Source organism: Homo sapiens, chromosome 4, assembly GCF_000001405.40.
Source record: "Homo sapiens chromosome 4, GRCh38.p14 Primary Assembly".
Lineage (NCBI taxonomy): Eukaryota > Metazoa > Chordata > Mammalia > Primates > Hominidae > Homo > Homo sapiens.
Window position 1 is genome coordinate 61,502,942 of NC_000004.12, and position 19,799 is coordinate 61,522,740.

Genomic DNA, 19,799 nt, shown 5'->3' on the forward strand with positions numbered 1-19,799 from the left:
TAATATAACTATGTTTATAGTCAAATACATTATACAGAAAAATCTGTGTCATGGTAATGATATATGAGGTTACTGCTAACACATCCAACGCCATCCACATTAGCCAGTGGGTACTGAGATTTAAAATAGGTATTTTGTAAGCTAACTGCTCAGTCGCTAATACCACAATGTAAGCTACAAACATGCATGGCTGATAGCTTTACTTTATGTGTAAGAATTTGTTTAGAAACTTCCCCAAATACTCAGTATGCAGGTTGGCAATTGGAAAATAATTTTTTTTTTTGCTTTTGTACTTGCAAAAGGTGTTACGTATGAATTTAATTGTAGTAATAATCTATGAGTGATGTGTACATATTTGGAGTAAAATAGCATTTTTCTATATTGAAATTTTGTGTATTGTGACTATTTGAGGTGCTTGTAATTTATCCTATTTTTTATATTTCTTTGTCTGTGGTGGACTCTGACTTCTGTAGGGTTGTTGTTTTATACTTAATGTTGAACAAATTTAAAAATATTTGAATATACAATATAAAGTCATTGTTTTCTTATTCTTTGGATTACTATTTACTTTAATCCTCAGTGTAATTGGGTTATTTATAAATGGGTCATTTTTCTTTATATTGTCAAATTATAAGCATTCTTCATAAAAATATATTTTTTGAAAAGACGGTAAGATATCATTAGAAGACATTTAGTTTTAAGAGATTTTTAGACTATATTTTCTAAGAATAGCTTTTAAATTTTTTATTTTTAAAATTTCAATTTTAAGTAAAAATTTCAAATATTGTTATTAGTAAAATATTTTTTATGAATACATAATATTTGTACATGTTTATGGGGGTACTTATACAGCATTTTGATACATGCATACAGTCTATAATGATCAAATTGGAGTACTTAGGATATTCGTCACTTCAACCATTTTTCATTTTTTTGTTTTGGGAATGTTTCAGATTTTCTGGAAGGCTATTTGCCTGGAGTTACCCACTTAAATTCTCATCTATTTTATGTTGAATCATGCACCATTTGTCTACCCTCATCACTTCAAATTCTCCAACCCCCTTTTTGTAAGACAGGGTTTCACTCTGTCACCCAGGCTGTAGTGCAGTGGCATAATCAGAGCCCACTGTAACCTCAACCTCCTGGGCTCAAGCAGTCCTCCCACCTCAGCCTCCCAAGTGGCTAGGACCACAGGCATGCGCCACCACACCTGGCTAATTTTTAAAATTTTTTCATAAAGATGGAGTCTTGCTCTGTTGCCCAGGCTGGTCTCAAACTCTAGACCTCCAGCAATCCTCCTGCCTTGACCTCCCAGAGCACTGGGATTACGGGTGTGAAGCACTGTACCCAGCCCCCTTTTACTCATGTATTTGATTCCTCAAAGTAGTTCATTCATTCAGAATTTTTTTAAAAAAATAATTTTTAATCATTATGGATATTTAATAGTGCACATTTATGGGGTACATATAATATTTGATACAAGCATACAATTTGTAAGGATCAGTTACTCCAGGGTAATTAGGGTGTCTGTCATCTCAAATTTTTATTTATATGTGTTAGGAATATTACAATTCTACTCTTTTAGTTATTTTGAAATATACAATAAATTATTGTTGGTTATAGTCACCATATCTTGCTACTGAACACTAGATCTTATTCCCTCTACCTAACAGTATTTTTGTACCAACTAACCATCTTCTCTTCATCTTTCTCCTCTCCACTAATCTTCCCATCCTCTGGTAACCATCATTCTACTCTCTGTCTCCATTAGTTTAATATTTTTTTTATTTCTCATATATTACTGATAACATGCAATGTTTGTCTTTCTATGTTTGGCTTAAGAATTTCATCGCTTTTTTATAGCTGGATAAATTTCATTGTGTATGTGTAACCACATTTTCTTTATCCATTCATTCATTGATGGACACTTAGGTTGATTCCATATCTTGGCCATTCTGAATAGCGTTGCAATAAATATGAGAGTGCACATAGCTCTTCAAAATACTTATTTTCTTTCTTTTCCACATATACCCAGGAGTGGGATTTCTGGATCATACAGTAGTTCTTTTAGTCTTTTGAGGGACCTTCATGCTGTTCTCCACAGTGGCTGCACTATTTATATTCCCACCGACAGACAAAGGTTCCCCTTTCTCCACATCCTCACTAGCATTTGTTATTGCCTGTTTTTGGATAACAGCCATTTTAACTGTGGGAGATGATATTTCATTGTAGTTATAATTTGCACTTCTCTGATGATTAGTGATGTTGAGCATTTTTCATTTACCCGTTGATCATTTGCATATCTTCTTTTGAGAAATGTCTATTCACATCTTTTGCTCATTTTAAAATCAGATTGATTTTTTTCCTGTTGAGTTATTAACCCTTGTCAGATGATAGTTTGCAAATATTTTCTCCCATTCTTGTGGGTTGTCTCCTCACTTTTTTATTGTTATTATGACTATAAAAATTAATAATTGTCCATAATTGAAACTTTATTTTTATAGGAGACCTGTATACTGGTGAATTGTATACAAAACAGCAAGGCAATTCATTGAGTTCTATTAGTTTTCAATTATTTCTTCCTAAGAAAATGATGAAGATGATTAAACTCTGGTAGCCAAGAAAAATTTCTATTTTTGGTCGAGTCTGAATATTTTTGAGATTTTGGAAATCCTCTTTTTTATATTTTTATATCTTTGTTCAAATTATAAATATTGAGTCTTTCATTTTACTTCTGTAGATTGTTTTTTCTCTAATATGTTCTGCAAATTGCTGAATGCCTCTTGTAGTTCATCTCAAGAGTAATCCTATAGCTTTGCATCTCTCTATCAAATCCACATATTATATATTAGTGTCCTCTGGACTCACATCACATCTTTTAATAAAAAAAAAACAAACAAAAATGTAAATCAGCAGAGAACCTGGTGTTTTATATGGCAAGGATAATTAATGGTTAATAAATGTTGATACTGAATAGCTCCTGTAGTTTTCAGGAACTATAGAAGATGATGTCACCATATTTAGGAAGCATTGCTTACATGAAGCCCAGAAACTGAAGTTTACAGTATCATCTAATCTAAACTGCTTTAGAATCCTATATTGTATGGTCCTATTAAATGGAGTAGAAAGATCTTAAGCCTTAGAGTTTAACTCCAGTTCTATTACTTCCAAGATATATGGCCTTAAAGAGTTTAAATCACAGTTTATTTATTTGTTAAATGAGTAATTAGGCCTACTTTGTTATAGTATGAGGATTAAATAAAATAATGTATAAAAAGGCCCTAATACAAAGCCTTACACATTTAATCCTGGCAGAATGGGGTCATTAAAACATACCTTTAGGAATTAGAACCAAAAAAAACAAATGTTCTGAATAGTAAGCAAAATTTAAAATACAACACCATCTTGGGGTCACTTACATTCCACAGTTCTTTTTCAAAGACTGCATTGTATATTCTTAATCCCCAGTGTGACAGTTTCTCTAATTATGAGTCTACACGTTTGTACACACATCCCATCATTATATTTAGGACTCGCCCACTGGACTGTAACTAAGTCTTTAATGAGTTACTAATGAACATCTTAAGCTTAGATCAGCATTCAAAGAAAAATGTTAAAGGGTGTTGAAAAGCTATTCAAAGTGCAATTCTGTCACTTTTAATTAGACTCTAAGCCCAATAAAATAACCTGTCATCACTCTTCTAAGTTTGAAAAAATTGAATAGTGAGTGACAGATACACCCTCACTTTGGTATCATTAGTTTTATGTGAAGTTAAAAAGGGTAAATTCAGTGACCTAAATTAGAGAAATCATTGTTTTGACTAAATGTAAAGATAAAAATAACGTGCAAACATAAAATAGCATTTTACAACATTTCATTCTTTTTCTTGGACTCAGATGACTTTAAAACAGATTGATTTTGTTGTTGTGTTGGAGAATAACAGATGATGTGAGGAAAAAACCTAATGATTAGATATGTAGGTTAAAAACGTAAAAATAAAAAAAACCCTCTGTATTTATAAAAGAACAAATAGTCTACTTTCACTCATTACTGATTCTCTCCAAGCTGTTAGAGATATCACAAGAGTAGTAAACATAAACATTACCTGAATTAGATCAGAACTAATCTTTAGTAGAGCTCTCCATACAAATTGACAATGGTGGTGACAATTTAGCAATGATCATTTTTCTTCTTTTTTTTCTCCTTTTGATAGGGAACTTGGTGAAACCATGCAGACCTTCAGGGCACATTATTTAATAATGAAGACAAATAATGCATAAAATTTAAAGCAACAGGCTGGTATGATGCTCTCCCTCCAGGGAACACTACACAATTGCTTAAAAGGAGGCCTTTTAGATTAGTTACAAAAGCTGGATTGTTGGAATAGCTGTGATAGCACAGATGTATTAGAGGTTACAGGCTGTTGGCAGGCTTTATGTTGTCCCTCTGCAGACAGATAAAAAACCACCATGTCGATTTTTAAAAGTAGGTGTCCAATAATAATCACATCCAACATAACATAATCGATCATTTTGACATTTGAGCCTGTTAACATATTTGCTGTCTTGTTAAACAGAATTTAGGCATTCATAAAAACTAACGGAAATTAAGATGTGATATGGTTTGGCTCTGTGGCCCCACCCAAATCTCATCTTGAATTGTACTTCTATAATTCCCACAGGTTGTGGGGGGGGACTTTAAAACAGATTGAGTTTGTTGTGTGTATGTGTTGAGAAGGGTGGATGGGTGGCAAAAATATCTTACTACCATTAAAAAGCAAAACAGTTCTCATTCTTCTCAGCTGTCTTCAGAAATGCCAGTTATTATTTACTTAGGAGAGGGAGCTAGAACTCCCTAACAAAACAGACCTCTGTCAATATGTGGATCATTTTTGCTCATTTTGCCCACACATTAGTTACAATTGGCAGTATGATTAAGGTAGAGTGCCTCATTACTATAGTTGTAAAGATTTTTAAAGGAATAATTTACAACATTCTGAAAGTATAGTTGCCATACCATTAAAAAATTTATATTCTAAAGGTTTTTTGTTACCATGAACTTAAATTTTTTTGCATTATGTTTACAAGGAGGCTGGTGTTTGGAAAATCTTACTATTAGTTATCACTCCTCTTAAGGTACATAATATGGATTTTATTTGACTGGAATAAAAAAAATCCTTTTTGTCAGGAGCCAAATCTCTAATAAATTTATATCACTAACAGAAATCTCTACTTACTCATTTTCAGAAGTGTTTAAGGTATTTACATCACAGTATTACAATTTAGGCAACGATTATAATGAAAGTCACTATTTTTCCCTTTATTGATAGAATATATAAAGTGCCAGCTATGAAAGCCAATTAAAAAGCAATCTTAAAAAGTTGGTTCTTTTGTTCTTTAACAAAATGAAATGTTTCCCTTTAGCTTTATTCACAGCCATGTGTTTGACTCTTTTACTATTCTCAGCGTATTTTATAAAGCTTTTGTAACATAGTAGCTTAGTGTTCTGATAATGACTCTAATGAGTAAAAGCAGACTATTTATTCTTTTATAAATACAGAGGTTTTTAAAAATTTTTTTAACCTACATATCTAAGCATATCTGGATCTTTTTTCCTCATGTCATCTGTTAAGTTATTTATTTTTATAATTTCAACAGTTATATTAGATTCAGGGGGTAAATGTACAGGTTTGTTACAGGAGTATATTGCATGACTCTGAGGCAAATGATCCTGTCACCCAGGGTAATGAGCATACTACCCAATAGGTAGTTTTCCGACCTTGCCTCACTCTCCCTCCTAGTTCCCAGTGTTTATCGTTCTCATCTTGTATTAGTCCGTTTTCATGCTGCTGATAAAGACATTCCTGAGACTGGGAAGAAAGAGAGGTTTAATTGGACTTGCAGTTTCAGATGGCTCAGGAGGCCTCAGAATCATGGCGGGAGGCAAGAGCACTTCTTATATGGCAGCAGCAAGAGAAAAATGAAGAGGATGCAAAAGTGGAAACCCCTGATAAAACCATCAGATCTTGTGAAACTTATTCACTATTATAAGAACAGTGTGGAGGAAACCACCCCCATGATTCAAACGATCCCACGGGTTCCATCCCACAACCCGTGGGAATTATGGGAGTACAATTCAAGACGAGATTTGGGTGAGGCCACAGAGCCAAACCATATCACATCTTTTTTTTTTTTTTTTTTTTGAGACAGAGTTTCTCATTTGTTGCCCAGGCTGGAGTGCAATGGCACGATCTCGGCTCACTGCAACCTCCGCCTCCCGGGTTCAAGTGATTCTCCTGCCTCAGCCTCCTAAGTAGTTGGGATTATAGGCACCCGCCACCACTCCCATCTAATTTTTGTATTTTTAGTAGAGACAGGGTCTTGCCATGTTGGCCAGGCTGGTCTTGAACTCCTGACCTCGGGTGATCCACCCGCCTCAGCCTCCCAAAGTGCTGGGATTACAGGCGTGAACCACTGCGCCTGGCACATATCACATCTTAATGTCCATAAGTTTCAATGTTTAGCTTCCACTTATAAGTCTATGTGTGCAATCTTTGGTTTTCTGTTCCTGTGTTAATTCACTTAGGATGATGGCCTCCACTGGCATCCATGTTGCTGGAAAGGACCTGATTTCATTATTTTTTATGGCTGCATAGTATTCTTCCATGCTGTGTGTGTGTGCGTGTGTATATATATATATATAATTTTATTTATCCAGTCTACCATTGATGAGCACTTGGGTTGATTCCATGTCTTTGCAATTATAAATAGTGCTGCAATGTATATACAAATGCATATGTCTTTTTGGTAGAATAATTTATTTTCCTTTGGGTATATACCCAATAATGGGAATACTGGGTAGAATAATAGTTCTGGTTTTAGTTCTTTGAGAAATCTCCAACCTGCTTTCCACAGCAGCTGAACTGACTAGCATTTCCACCAACAGTATGTAAGCATCCCTTTTACTCCATAGCCTTGCCAACACCTGTTATTTTTTGTCTTTTTAATAATAGCCATTCTGACTGGTGTGAGATGGTATCTCATTGAGGTTTTGATTTGCATTTCTCTGATGATGAGTGATATTGAGTGTCCTTTTTGTGTTTGTTGGCCGCTTGTATGTCTTCTTTTGCGAAGTGTTTGTTCATGTCCTTCGCCTGCTTTTTAATGGGATTATTTGTATTTTGCTTGTTGAATCATTTAAGCTCTCTGTAATATTAGATGTTTGTCAGATGCATAGTTTGCAAATATTTTCTCTCATTCTGTGGGTTGTCTGTTTACTCTGTTGATAGTTTCTTTTGCTGTGTGAAAGTTCTTTAGTTTTATTAGGTCCCACTTGTCAATTTTTGGTTTTGTTGCAATTGTTTTTGAGGACAGTCATAAATTCTTTCTTAAGGCTGATGTGAGAATGGTACTTTATAGGTTTGCTTGTAGGATTTTTATAGTTTAGGGTCTCACATTTAGAATTTTAATCCCTCTTGATTTAATTTTTGCATATGCTGAAAAGTAAGGGCCTTGTTTCATTATTTTGCATACATGGCCAGCCAGTTATCCTAACACCGTTTATTAAATAGGGAGTCATTTCCCCATTGCATATTTTTTGTTGACCTTGTTGAAGATCAGATGGTTGTATGTGTGTGGCTTTATTTCTGGCTTCTCTATTCTGTTCTATTGTTCTATTTGTCTGTTTTGTATTAGTACCACACTGTTTTGGTCATTGTAGCCTTATAAGATAGTTTGACATTTGGCATTGTGATGCCTCCAGCTTTGTTCTTTTTGCTGAGGATTGCTTTGGCTATTGGGGCTCTTTTTTGATTCCACAGGAATTTTACAATAGTTTTTTTCTAATTTTGTAAAAACTGACATTGATAGTTTGGTAGGAATAGCATTCAATTTGTAGAGTGCTTTGGGTGGGCAGTATGGCGATTCTAGCAATATTAATTCTTCTATCCACGTGTATGGAATGTTTTTCCATTTGTTTGTGTCATCTCTGATTTCTTTGAGCAGTGTTTTGTAGTTCTCCTCGTAGAGATCTTTTCACCCCCCTGATTAGATGGATTCCTAGATTTTTTATTTTCTTGATGACTATTGTAAATGTGATTATGTTCTTGACTTGGCTCTTAGCTTGAATGTTATTGGTATATATAGGTAGCTCATGCCTGTAATCCCAACACTGTGGGAGGGCAAGGTGGGCTGATCACTTGAGGTAGGGAGTTCAAGACCACCCTTGCCAACTTGGTGAAACCCTCTCTCTACTAAAGATACAAAAAAATTAGCCGGACATGGTGGCGGGTGCCACCTCATCACCTTATCTCAACTACTCGGGACGTTGCAGTAGGAGAATCACTTGAACCCAGGAAGCGGAGGTTACAGTGAGCCGAGATCACGTGCCACTGCACTCTCCAGCCTGGTGACAGAGTGAGACTCTTGTCAAAAAACAAACAAAAAATGCTACTGATTTTTGTATGCTGATTGTATACCCTGAAACTTTACTGAAGTTGTTTATCATGTCTAGGAACTTTCTCCTGCCTTTAGGGTTTTCTAGATATAGAATCATGTTGTTAGCAAAGAGAGATTATTTGATTACTTCTTTTCTTATTTGAATGACTACAAAAGTTTATCTTACTATTTATTTTATTGTAACAGTTATGTTTTGGAGAAAATTAATGAGGAACCTAGTCTGAAGTGTAATTTCTTGCCCACATCAGGCATACCAGTACTTTATGAAACAAGGTAGTCTAGAGAAGGAACCTGTTGAGTTAAATAAGATTTAGGTATACCATAAAATTGGCTTCATGATACACGGGAGGACAATTTGTTACTACTTAGCTTAGCTGTTTTCTTATAAGACCCAGAATTGAAACAGATTTACCCCTCTGTGTTAGGACTTTCATGCTGCAATTTCTACATGATGGCATCTTTACTCAGGTGCTTGAATTGGATCTTTTATGACTATTGTTAGAGATTACTACCCAGCCTATAAAGAAATTATGCAGCTATCATATACACCTTAGGGAGAAATCAAGAAAGATATAATCTTTTATATGGCTAAAATGAAGGTGCTGTGGGAGAGAGCCTTTCAGGTATGCATAAGAAAGCAGGATTGAAAATGTGCCTTTATTTACAGAAAAGGAAATGAAAATAGTGGTCTCTTCTCTGCCCCCCAACCCTTCTCTTTCTTTCCCTTTTATTATATATGTTGGCAGTGAAGTTGGAATAGACATTTCAGTAGCAATCAGCCATTTGCTATTGTAACTTTTTAATATAATTTCCAGCATTTACACAATACTTTCCTGTTAGCTAAAGAGTTTTGTACATAATAGCTCAGTGAATACTCATAACAATCCAATGAGTCATAGGTAGTAGGACTGGTAATTTTCAGATGAAAAAATAGACTCAGAGCTGTGAATGTAATGATGTAATAATATATTTTAAGTGACTTTTGAGGAGAAACTCAACCCAAAATTTCTTAGCCATCTTGTGGAGGCTTCGTCCATAGGCATTTTTATAACCTACTGAGCATTTGCCTTATTTTATAGATCTATGATTTAAATTATAAATAAACAAACCAAAGTAGCATATTGAGATTGAGCTAGAATATAATAAAATAAAATAAGTAAATTTTTAAAATCTTCAATTAGGGAAGACAGCAATACTGTGTTTGTTTAAATCTTGGAAATAAAAAGGAACAAGATTTTGAGTATGTTTTAGTAGAGAATGGAAAGGAAATATTATGAAATGTGATTATCATTTTATATAGAGATAGAGAACTGTTTGGTAAAATTATGGAAAGAGTGATATTAGAAAGTGGTGAGATTTGGAAAGCCTGAGCAGTAGGGGAAAGGATTTCCTACTAGGAAGGATACTTTGTACAAAGGATTAGGCGGGTATGTTCAGGAGGGTAAGTATTCTCTTTCCAAGAGATACTACCATGGTGAATGACAGAGTGTAATATGTAGGTTAGAGTCATAGCTATATTAGTGTACATTTCAAACTCTGTAAGGCTCATGGTTGGGTTGCTAATAAAGACATGGTGAAATATAACCCTAAACCACAAAAGTAAATGACTTGTGAGAAAAATTTTTAGTTTATGAAAATTAAAGCCCTGGTAACTCTGATAAATATGCCCAGGTTGTATTTTGTTTTTAGCATTTCTCTCATTATAGAATTAGCCATTGTTTTGTTTAGAGTCCCAGCTCACTGTTATGATTAATAGCTATTTGGGGGAATAAGCTGAATAATTGACTGAATTACAAAGCTGCTCATGTAAGAAGAACAAGAAAATAGAAACAGCTGAAGTTGGTTAGAAACAGTACTTACTTAATTTTAAAAAAATTATAAATCAGTATTGATCTCTGCAAGTTATCTATCATTGAATTCTGATATTTATGGGTATTTATACCAATTATATCTTCCACAGATAATATGAAAACTCTGGTATTATCATCACAAATACTTTACCTTTTAAAAACTCATTATTTTTCTTTTGTTTATCTCTTGCCATCTTATCTGCCCACAACCAACATTCTGGAACAGTGATGCTCTGATGGCTTTTGATATTTAAGAGACATGAACATGGGATAAATATTTTGATCATTATAGTAGGTTATGAAATACTAATTTTATATTTCACGCTTGCCCACTAGGAAAGCAGAATGAAAGTGCTTACATTGTAAAAATATCTGGATATGAATCAAATATAAGGATGATTTGTATATGGCAATAACTCATATTACTTACAAGGAGTATTATATATTATGTATGATTTAAAAGTTAAAACTTTAAAAACAAATAAAAATAGAAAATCTCCCCCTCAATTCAAATAAAATCCTAATCAAATATGCAGTTTTTAAAAGATAAGCATGAAGTTTCTCTGAAGATGGATAGAAAGAACAAGATGCATTGACCTTATTATAGCTTCCTGCCTCAGAGCCAAAATTAACTTTGCGACATCTTAAAATTACATGCAACAGAGTTTGAAACTGTGGCCTCTAATGGTATTGGGAAGGAAACTTGGAGGGTTGCCTTCAACTTATGGTTAATGCCACAACATGCTGGTGTATTTTTAATAGCTAATTTGAAAGAATCCTTTCTCTTAAAGGTCTGGATAAAAAAAGAGGCATTTAGAATGTGAAAACTATCTTCAAATATCTGAGAAGAACCTTCGAGGAGTAATTTGAGTTGGTTTTGTAGCCCATGTATTCAATTTAGACAAGTGAGTGGAGAATGCCAGGGCATAGATACCACCTTCCTTGACCTAAGGAAACTAGCTGCTTCAGATGCTATTGTGCCCCAAGGAGAGAGTGAGTTTCAGAGCAAAACCTCTTGACGTGAACCTTGGGAGATCTGTATGGCAGGAACATTCTAACTTTCTAGCATGTGAATTGAAGGAATCTTTGCAGACTTAAGATTCGTGTTTCTAATGGAATACCAGACACCAGATTTATAAGTGTGCTGTTTATCTTGAAGACTTATTTGTATAATAGCTTCAGGAAGACAAATTGGATTTATATTTATAATTCAAATAAATATTTCCACAGAAGTCATACAATATCTTGAGTATAGTACACACATATTTTTTAAAGCAAAAGTTGACATTTTGGCTCTGTTCTAATAATCCTTCTCTATGTGGGCAGTGTAACAGCCTCTCTAGTTTTTCTGTCACCCATTGGATTTCTTTTATAGATACAGTGAATTTAAATGAGTGTATGAACTACAGACACATAAGATACTTTGGTTTCATAGAACACATCAGTCTACTTTTTTCAATTTACAGTCAAAGTCGACTTAAGCTCCTGGTATTTTGTATTCTTTAGTCTTACTCCATGAAATCGTTTTACTCCTCAAGCCAAACAACTCTTTCTAGATCCCTAAGAGTTTGCTTCCTAGTTCTATTGACGTGTGTTTTTATGTTTTGTTTATTTTTCAGATTTTTTTCATTTAGATACAGGCACTATTATACTGTTTAGCTGATGCTTGATTCCATTGTTTATTCATTTTTAAATCAATTGTCATTCTTTGCCTACTCTAGAAATTGACCTTTTCTAGAAATATTTGATCTCTAGTTAAGAAGAGATCCCTATTCCCACGTCCCTGTCCTATGCTACTCTTCCCTCCCAAGAGTTTTAATAATTATCCTAAACAGATTGTCTTAAAACTAAGCTCTTTACCCTGGCTTACAAAGCTCATGATCTGGATGTTGCTTGCCTCTCTGCCTTCCAGACTATTCTTCACCTTGACCCCTATACCCAGCCGTTGTGCTATTTCTCAAACACACCAAGGGATTTTAGCCTGGAGGCCTTTCCTGTATCCTGGAAGTTCTTTGACTAGCAACTTACAGTCACACAACTGAATGTTGTATGATTAATGACTTTAAATCTCACTGAAATCCCAATTTATATTTTGTCTCCATATCCAAATATTTCACAAAAACCCAAATGAAGTAACCTTTACATAATACTCTATTTATTTTTTCATAGATTACTCATATTTATATGGTATTTTTTCTCTAATATTTATTTGTGTATTTTCTAATTTCCCTTACCAGATGTGTGATTCATTAAAGTAGCTTTGTGGTCTGTTTTCTTCACCAAATTCTCCAGCACCTAGAAGAGGTCCCAACATGTAATGGGAACTCAATAAATATTTGTTGAATGAATGAAAAAATAAGCACATTCTCCCCCACTCTAAATGTGCTTATATTTTAACTTGGCTGAGGATAAAATCTTTCAATTTTTGCATAACAGAGGCTTATAGGATAATCTATTTTGATAAGGTTTGGCTAATTTTCTTCCATAGAGTAGTAACAAAGATATTAGAGAAAACATGCCTGTATATATTCATGTAAAAATATTTTTATATTAGTCATATTGTCATTTTAGGTAATGAAGAGAGGGATATCTTAGGAGCCAAAAGTTCAGAAATGATGCCACTAGAGTGAAACATCAAAGAAGGCAATTACTTAGAGATGTTGATTTTCGCAGCTTTTTGGTCTTGAAACTTATTTTCTTCTTTGGCACCTTTTTCATTTACACAGGCTATAAAAATGGCATTCAGATTACCTTTGCCTAGATATTTTAGTAATCATACATTGTAATAAATTCAAATAAAAATGTTTCGGGGCAATGTCTCAGACTTATATTTTAAAGTTTTCCATTATAGATATATTGTTTAACATATTTCTTAATATGATTTTTTTCCATAAAACTTGTATTATTTTATGTGTTTTGGGAGGGATATGTTTTACACTTCTAATCTGCAGATATTTTATATAGCAAGAAATTATGGCACCACTGTATAAATTTCTAGTGTTAGCAAGATGATCATAAAATTCTCTTGCATTATTGATTTTCTTAGTTTCTCTCCTGTTTAATGTTAGCCACATAACATTATTAATGTGTTTTTATACATGCATGTTATAACCTGTTAAAAAATACTTGTGTGAAGCAAAATCTTTTTCTTTGTAAAATTTATCCTTTCTGTTGACAGACAGATTTTCATTATCATTCCTATTTATTAAACTAGTTGCAAATAGTGTAGGGAAATGTGTATCTCATGTATCAATTTATCAAAAAAAATCCTATATTTAAATATCTCTTTTCAAAGCATAAAATGCATGGGTGTTTTCTGAATTATTTTTAAAAATCATGTATACTTTTTTTTCATTATTGTCTTGGTCTTTCATATTTACTCATTTATGTAATATGTACCATTTGTCAGTAAAATCACTGTGTATATAAATGGTAAAAATGTGTGTATATCCTTTTCACCTTAACGTCCAGCACAGATCTTAAAACAGCACCTCTCCAAAAATGGTAGTTAAATGACCTGAAAACATACAAATAAGTATAAAACAATCCATATAAGTGTAACCATACATCAAACAAAACAAATAAACAAACAAAAGACACCTTTCTGGGACTTTCTTTACCCATTACCTTATCAAACATTTTGTGTAAAAATTGAGTTTAGGAACCATTATTCTTATTTACACTTATGTAGGTATTAGTGCCCTTAATTTACATTAGAGTGCTGTGAATCTATAAAAATAAAAATAATATTTATATTTTTTCAGGTAGCTTACTGTGCTTTCAATAATTATGTCTAATTTTCTAATCATTATTAGAGATTAGGATGAGTTTTTTTTTTTTTTTTAGCTTAATTAAGATAGTGTTTAACTAGGATAGCATTATACTAGGGGCCAGGAGATGTAATCCTCTCAGCTGTAGGGTTGTCTGAGTAGGGCCTGGGGTGGCTGGAGTCTTGGGCCTATAGCCGGCGGCAGAGAGCAGCCTTGGGAATAGCCTCTACCAGGGCTCCCCTGAGGCGGGACTGAGGTGAGCAGGGGTCTGATGGTGCGCCCTGCGGTCCCCGCAGGTGGCAAGCACAGTGAACGACATCCTGCCCTTGCTGCTCCATTGCGACACGCTGAGCGCAGCCCAGGAGGCGCTCTTCCACCCAGACATCTGCTTCAGCAGCCAGCTGCAGAGCGCACCGCTGCTCATCGTGGACAAGGGCCCCGTGGAGCTACCAGAGGAGTTCGCGGTCCAGGTGCCCAAGGAGCACAGATTGCAGCGCAAGGTGCGGCCAGCGGTGGGGAGAGAGGGCTGGGGGTGGCTGGGCAGGGGCTCCTGAGAGGCTCAGCCCCAGGAAATGCCCGAAATGTGTCTTCTTGTAAGTTTACTGTCTGCATTCACTTTTGTGGCTGATATTACCACTTAGTGATATCCTGGCCATTTTTTTTTTAAGGCTTATACAATGCATGCCTGTTCTACATCAGAGCTTCAACATTATTTTGAAATGTTTTATTTAAAATACTTGATTGGGTTTGAAATATTTTTGCATTATCACAGGAAATTTAAAATTACTTTTAGTGACACTTTCAACTCTTGTAAAATTTGAAAGGCTGTATAAGTTTTAACATGTCTGATCATCTGCTTGTTTGAAAAAATTTTCACCAATGGAAACTATCAAGATTTTGAAAAGATTATGATTAAGACGTCTTGGTTAGGAATTGCACATTAGTCATTTAAAGCGTAAAACTTGGTAAAAAAGTTATAGTTACTGAAACAACCTAATTTTCTTATGAAAATGGCGGAACATTCTTCCTATAATATTGCCTCTGCAGCTGGAAAGTATAGCAAGTGGCATCCAGCCCCAAAAGCTCCAGTGAGGAGCATTAGGTCATATTTGCACAAAACTTAGTACTTACTCTTTTCCCGAACACTTTACATTTTATTTTTTATTTACATAATATTTAGGCAATGTAATTTTTATTTTTCTCACAAAACTTCATATGGGTACTCTTATTTCTGTCATTTCCCCCAAGGAATATAATATTTGTAACTTTATTTGTGGAAAATAAGCTGGGAAGCATTTGGCTAGTGGAACTATGAATATCAAATCTTTCCTAAAACACAGTCACTATTCTGACCCAAGAATTTCTTGAGAGGGATACACATATTAAGTAATACTAGCAAAAGAACATGAAACATCACAGTATTAGCTGAGTTTATCTTCTAAGCCCCGTTGAAGAGTTCTCTGGTAAAATAAGTTGGAATACTTTGTTTCAGTCAGGACCTAAGGGAGGTGCATCATTAATCCATTTGAGATTTGAGAGACCCGTGAGAGTTAAATGTAATTCTTCAATTACTGTGGCCACGAGGCAGAGTAAGAGCATGTGTAACTTTGCATTCACCGTAGCTCTGTCTCCTAAGTCACATCGTTCAATCTCTCCATTCAGATTGGCCTTTCTGCCTTGTAGTGGTGGTTTGGCAGCAGCAGTGGTGATGACAGGCAGCAAAGTGGTGGGCGAGGCCATGCAATACCATAGAAGCCTGTAGAATGGACTCCAGTGTGTTCTCAAAATTCAAGGGCAATGGATAGTAAACATTCTTTAAGAACTTCCTATTTTTCCCTTTCTGTTTTATTTGTATTACCTTTTCAAACTTGAAGTTTTCTAAATTGGATGGGCTTTTATTATTCCCAGAATGTGCTTCAGCAGTCACAATTATTTCATCATAACTTTGTCTTATGATTTATATTGTAAAACAATAATATATAATGAATATTAGTTAACTAACTCCAATGCCTGTACATTCATCGGACTTTCTAGAATTAAGAAGAAATACAGAAATAATATTTAATTTATATGAATCCTATAAATATTTAAATCAGCAACTAATGTAAACACAAACACATAGCTGCTGGAAACTCTCTCTTCTGACAAAAATTCAGAATATCAATTAGAATCATTGTTTCTAAGAACTTTATACTGAATTTATTCCCCAGTTTTTATAGCTTAATAAGATTTTTCTATATCACTAGATTTTAGTTTTTGGCATGTATGTGGCAAGTTACAGTGCAGTGACGGGTTTTAAGTCACATTTTTAAATCAATTTACAAATAGAAAAGCTGTATTATATTCTGTTTTGGACAGAGATGAAAACGACAGTACAAGCCAATTTTATGTGATATTTTTAATGGAGACTGAGGTAAACGTCTTGTGATTTAAAAGGCGCTTACAGAATTGTGTTAATCTGTCATGATGAGATGATACTTTTTGAAAGTTGCTTTTGTGTGAAAGTAATTTTATCAAGGAGACAGAGAATAAAGGTCATCTTAGAATATTCCCTGTAGAAAGAATAAAGAAGAATAAGTAAATATTATAGGGGCATAATCTTTCCTAATATGGAAGACAGTATATACAGCTAGAATGCTTGGACAGGTATTAAAAATGAAATTGAAGTAAGAGATATCACATTATCTTGAGCTCTTTAAATTGAAAAGACATGGAGGAATTTGAACAAGAAAATGTCAGTGAATTCAAGTTCTCACCTTTCCTCCCCTCCTCCACCTTCATAAAACAAAAACAAGTCTGTTCTAGAAACAAGATACTTTAAAAATATAAAGCTCAAAAATAAATAAAAGAATAAAGGCTGATATTAATGCAATCTTTGATTCAAAAACAAAATTGATATTACTTAAAAATATATTAACCTCTGTTCGTTCTGTAGATAGCCAAACAGGCAAGTAGGAATCCAATGAAAGCAGCCATAACAACATAACAAAATGCCCTTATTGGCTTGAAATTAAGCTTTGTTTTTTCCCCCCTTTGAATTCATTTGACTCTTGATAGCTAATAGCACTTGAGAGTTAATGAGTATTTGGATTCATACAAATTAGGACATCTTGGTAAAACAGCAAAGCATGAAGAATTTTTAAAAATAGTTCTCCTAAGTTTCTTTTTAGCATGTTAAAGCAGAAGGAAGTCTGAGGGCAGATTTCCCAGTTAATGACTAGATATCAAGGCTTTCCCTAGAAGCTAAAGGCATGTTAATGTGTTTTTTTCAATCAGCATATTTCTTGGTTTATTGTTTATCTCCATGCAGCTGCATTAAAAAAGTTCATTGAGAAGATCTACAAATAATGTTCCTACAAACCACACAGACAGTGGTGCCAAACCAGTACAACTTTTCACTAGGAAAACAGCTAAAGCATTTCAGTCCTGACAAAACATCTGAAAAACTCTACTCTGGGCTCATTTTAAAGTTCATCTTTTGCAAGAGCCACAAATGCTTCCACAAGAGGGTTATATATTTGATCAGTCCATTTGGAGAATTACATCAAACTCTACTATAATCTTTTTTCAAAAAAACTTTTTCCTTCCTACTTGGGTTTTAATATTTATAGATGAGGAGGCTTCTATAAACCTCTGTGTGTGTGTGTGTGTGTGTGTGTGTGTGTGTCTGTCTGTCTGTCTGTCTGAGGGGGAGTACTAAATGCAGGAATAGTGTTTTAAGAATGTGTCATAGTATGGAATTCTAAGGACCCTTGAGTACTAAACCTTAGATACCAGGAAATAACACCCAGGGATTTTTTTTTCCTGTGAAACCAGTTTTTCTTCTGTTTTTCTCAATCTTTCCAACAGCTTTCTCTGCTCATTGTCATTATAAGTGACTGTCAGCCTGAATTGTGCACCACTCCTCCCCTCCAGAGCACCAACAACCAACTGGTACTTGCCTTCTCGCCTCTTAGTTCAGATTTCTAAGAAAGGAAATTTAATCCCCATTGGGTTAGGTAAATATCCTTTATCTAATTACTCATGTCACTAGTCATTCCCTGGCCCAGGGCCCACACAGTAGCAACTGTGTAACAGAGGCAATACTAGGAATACCTATTATAGGGGTGAGAATAAAGTTCTGTGGAGCATGTAGGGGGATTGTCTATTTGGTGGGTTAGAGAAGGTGCCCCTGAAGATAAAGTGGCCTCTAAGCTGCAACCTAACAGACAAGTAGTAGTTTGCCAAGCACAGAAATGGAAGAAGAAAGATACTATTCTGAGTAGACGAAACAGCAACACAAGGGCCTAGTTCAGGATGATTGAAACATAGAAGTCCCAAGGATAATTTCTAGATATCAGTCTAGTAATGATCTGGAGAAGTGGTCAGAGATCTGGTCAGGAAGAACACAATGGTATAACACTATGAGGAGTTTGAAATTTTCCTGATGGTAGTGAGGGAAAAATTAAGTTGATCTTAGAGGAATTAAGCAAGGAGTGACACATTTGAAGAATTAACCAAAACAGTCTTCAAGACCAATGGAGTGTTCATCATGTTGATGCAGATAGATAAGAAATAGACGAGTCTGTTCTATTGGTGGGTCTGACTCAAGGAGTGAGTGATAGTAGTGATGATGATGGCCAAATAACAGGACTTAGATATTCATTGCACATGTGAGTAAGACAGAGGGAAAACCCAAAGGAGAAAACCAAGTATCTGGCTTGAGAGATTGCATTATAAATGAGTGTACCATTTACTGAGATAAGAAAGACAGGAGGAGATGGAGAATGTAGGCAAGGAATAATGATGTTGTTAACCAACCATTTACTGATTGAACAGAAACCCAACTTTCTGGCCCCAAATTTAAGGACACATAACTTAAATACAATATACAAATCTGAAAAAAAAACTAAACTAAAAATGTTATGTGTTTAGCATAAGTGATTCTTAATAAAAAAATAATAACTGGTAGCCTTATTATTTGTTAGGCATCTTCTTTTGGCCCAGATGTGATAAGATGTCCAGAAACATTAAGGATATCTGCTAGGATTTTCATTCAATCGTTCCTTCTACTTCCCAGTAATACCTAGCAGGGATATAGTGGAGCCAAGATTGGTTCTGAATTTTGAGCTTTGCTGTCTTTCCAGGCCTAGATATATTTGACATTCATTCAGTTCTTAGTACAATGTTCCAATGCAAAATTTGGAGAAGCAGGAGACCACTCTGCCCATATTTGCTCTCATTAATAATGTAACATAGCACACACTTCAGTAAAATAATAACAAAGAGTAATCTCCCTGTGTCTTTTGAGAATGCCTCAAAAATGAACCTTGATTAATCTCTTGCCTAATTATAACTGGTTATTAAATAGCATAACCCTTGATGACAGTGTAAAGTGATGCTTTATCTTGAAAAAATGGTTAATGTTCTCATTGATTAAGACTCTTGAAAATAAAAGCTGTGATCAAAAAGGAAGTGCTTTCAAAGTTGAAGATCCAAGACCACAATTGCCAAGCTTACATAATTTTACGTACGATGATGTAATAAACTGTTAGGAGCAGGAAAAGGGTGGCAAAACCTCATTTGTTGGTTTGCTTGTAACACCATGATTTGAGAATAGAGGGAGCCAGTTCTTTTGCACATTATGAGATCACTAACTAGAGAAGTCATTCACACTGGGCTAAATGATGAACACAAAGGTAAATGTAGGCTGCTTTAAAACCTGTAAGCCAGAAGGCCTACA

At 34.6% G+C, this 19,799-nt stretch overlaps 1 protein-coding gene across 59 annotated transcripts in view; it reads left to right on the top strand.

Annotated features, from left to right (window-relative positions):
* ADGRL3 (adhesion G protein-coupled receptor L3) overlaps positions 1 to 19,799 on the top strand; it is an 878,010-nt gene that overhangs the window by 302,616 nt on the left and 555,595 nt on the right. For 28 of the 59 annotated variants that reach the window (NM_001387552.1, NM_001322402.3, NM_001387522.1 and 25 more), the window contains one exon: positions 14,374 to 14,577. The exons of the other annotated variants lie outside the window; for them this stretch is intronic. In NM_001387552.1, the coding sequence (NP_001374481.1) occupies positions 14,374 to 14,577 (204 nt within the window). The remainder of the gene's footprint in view (positions 1 to 14,373; positions 14,578 to 19,799) is intronic. 59 annotated transcript variants of the gene reach the window in all.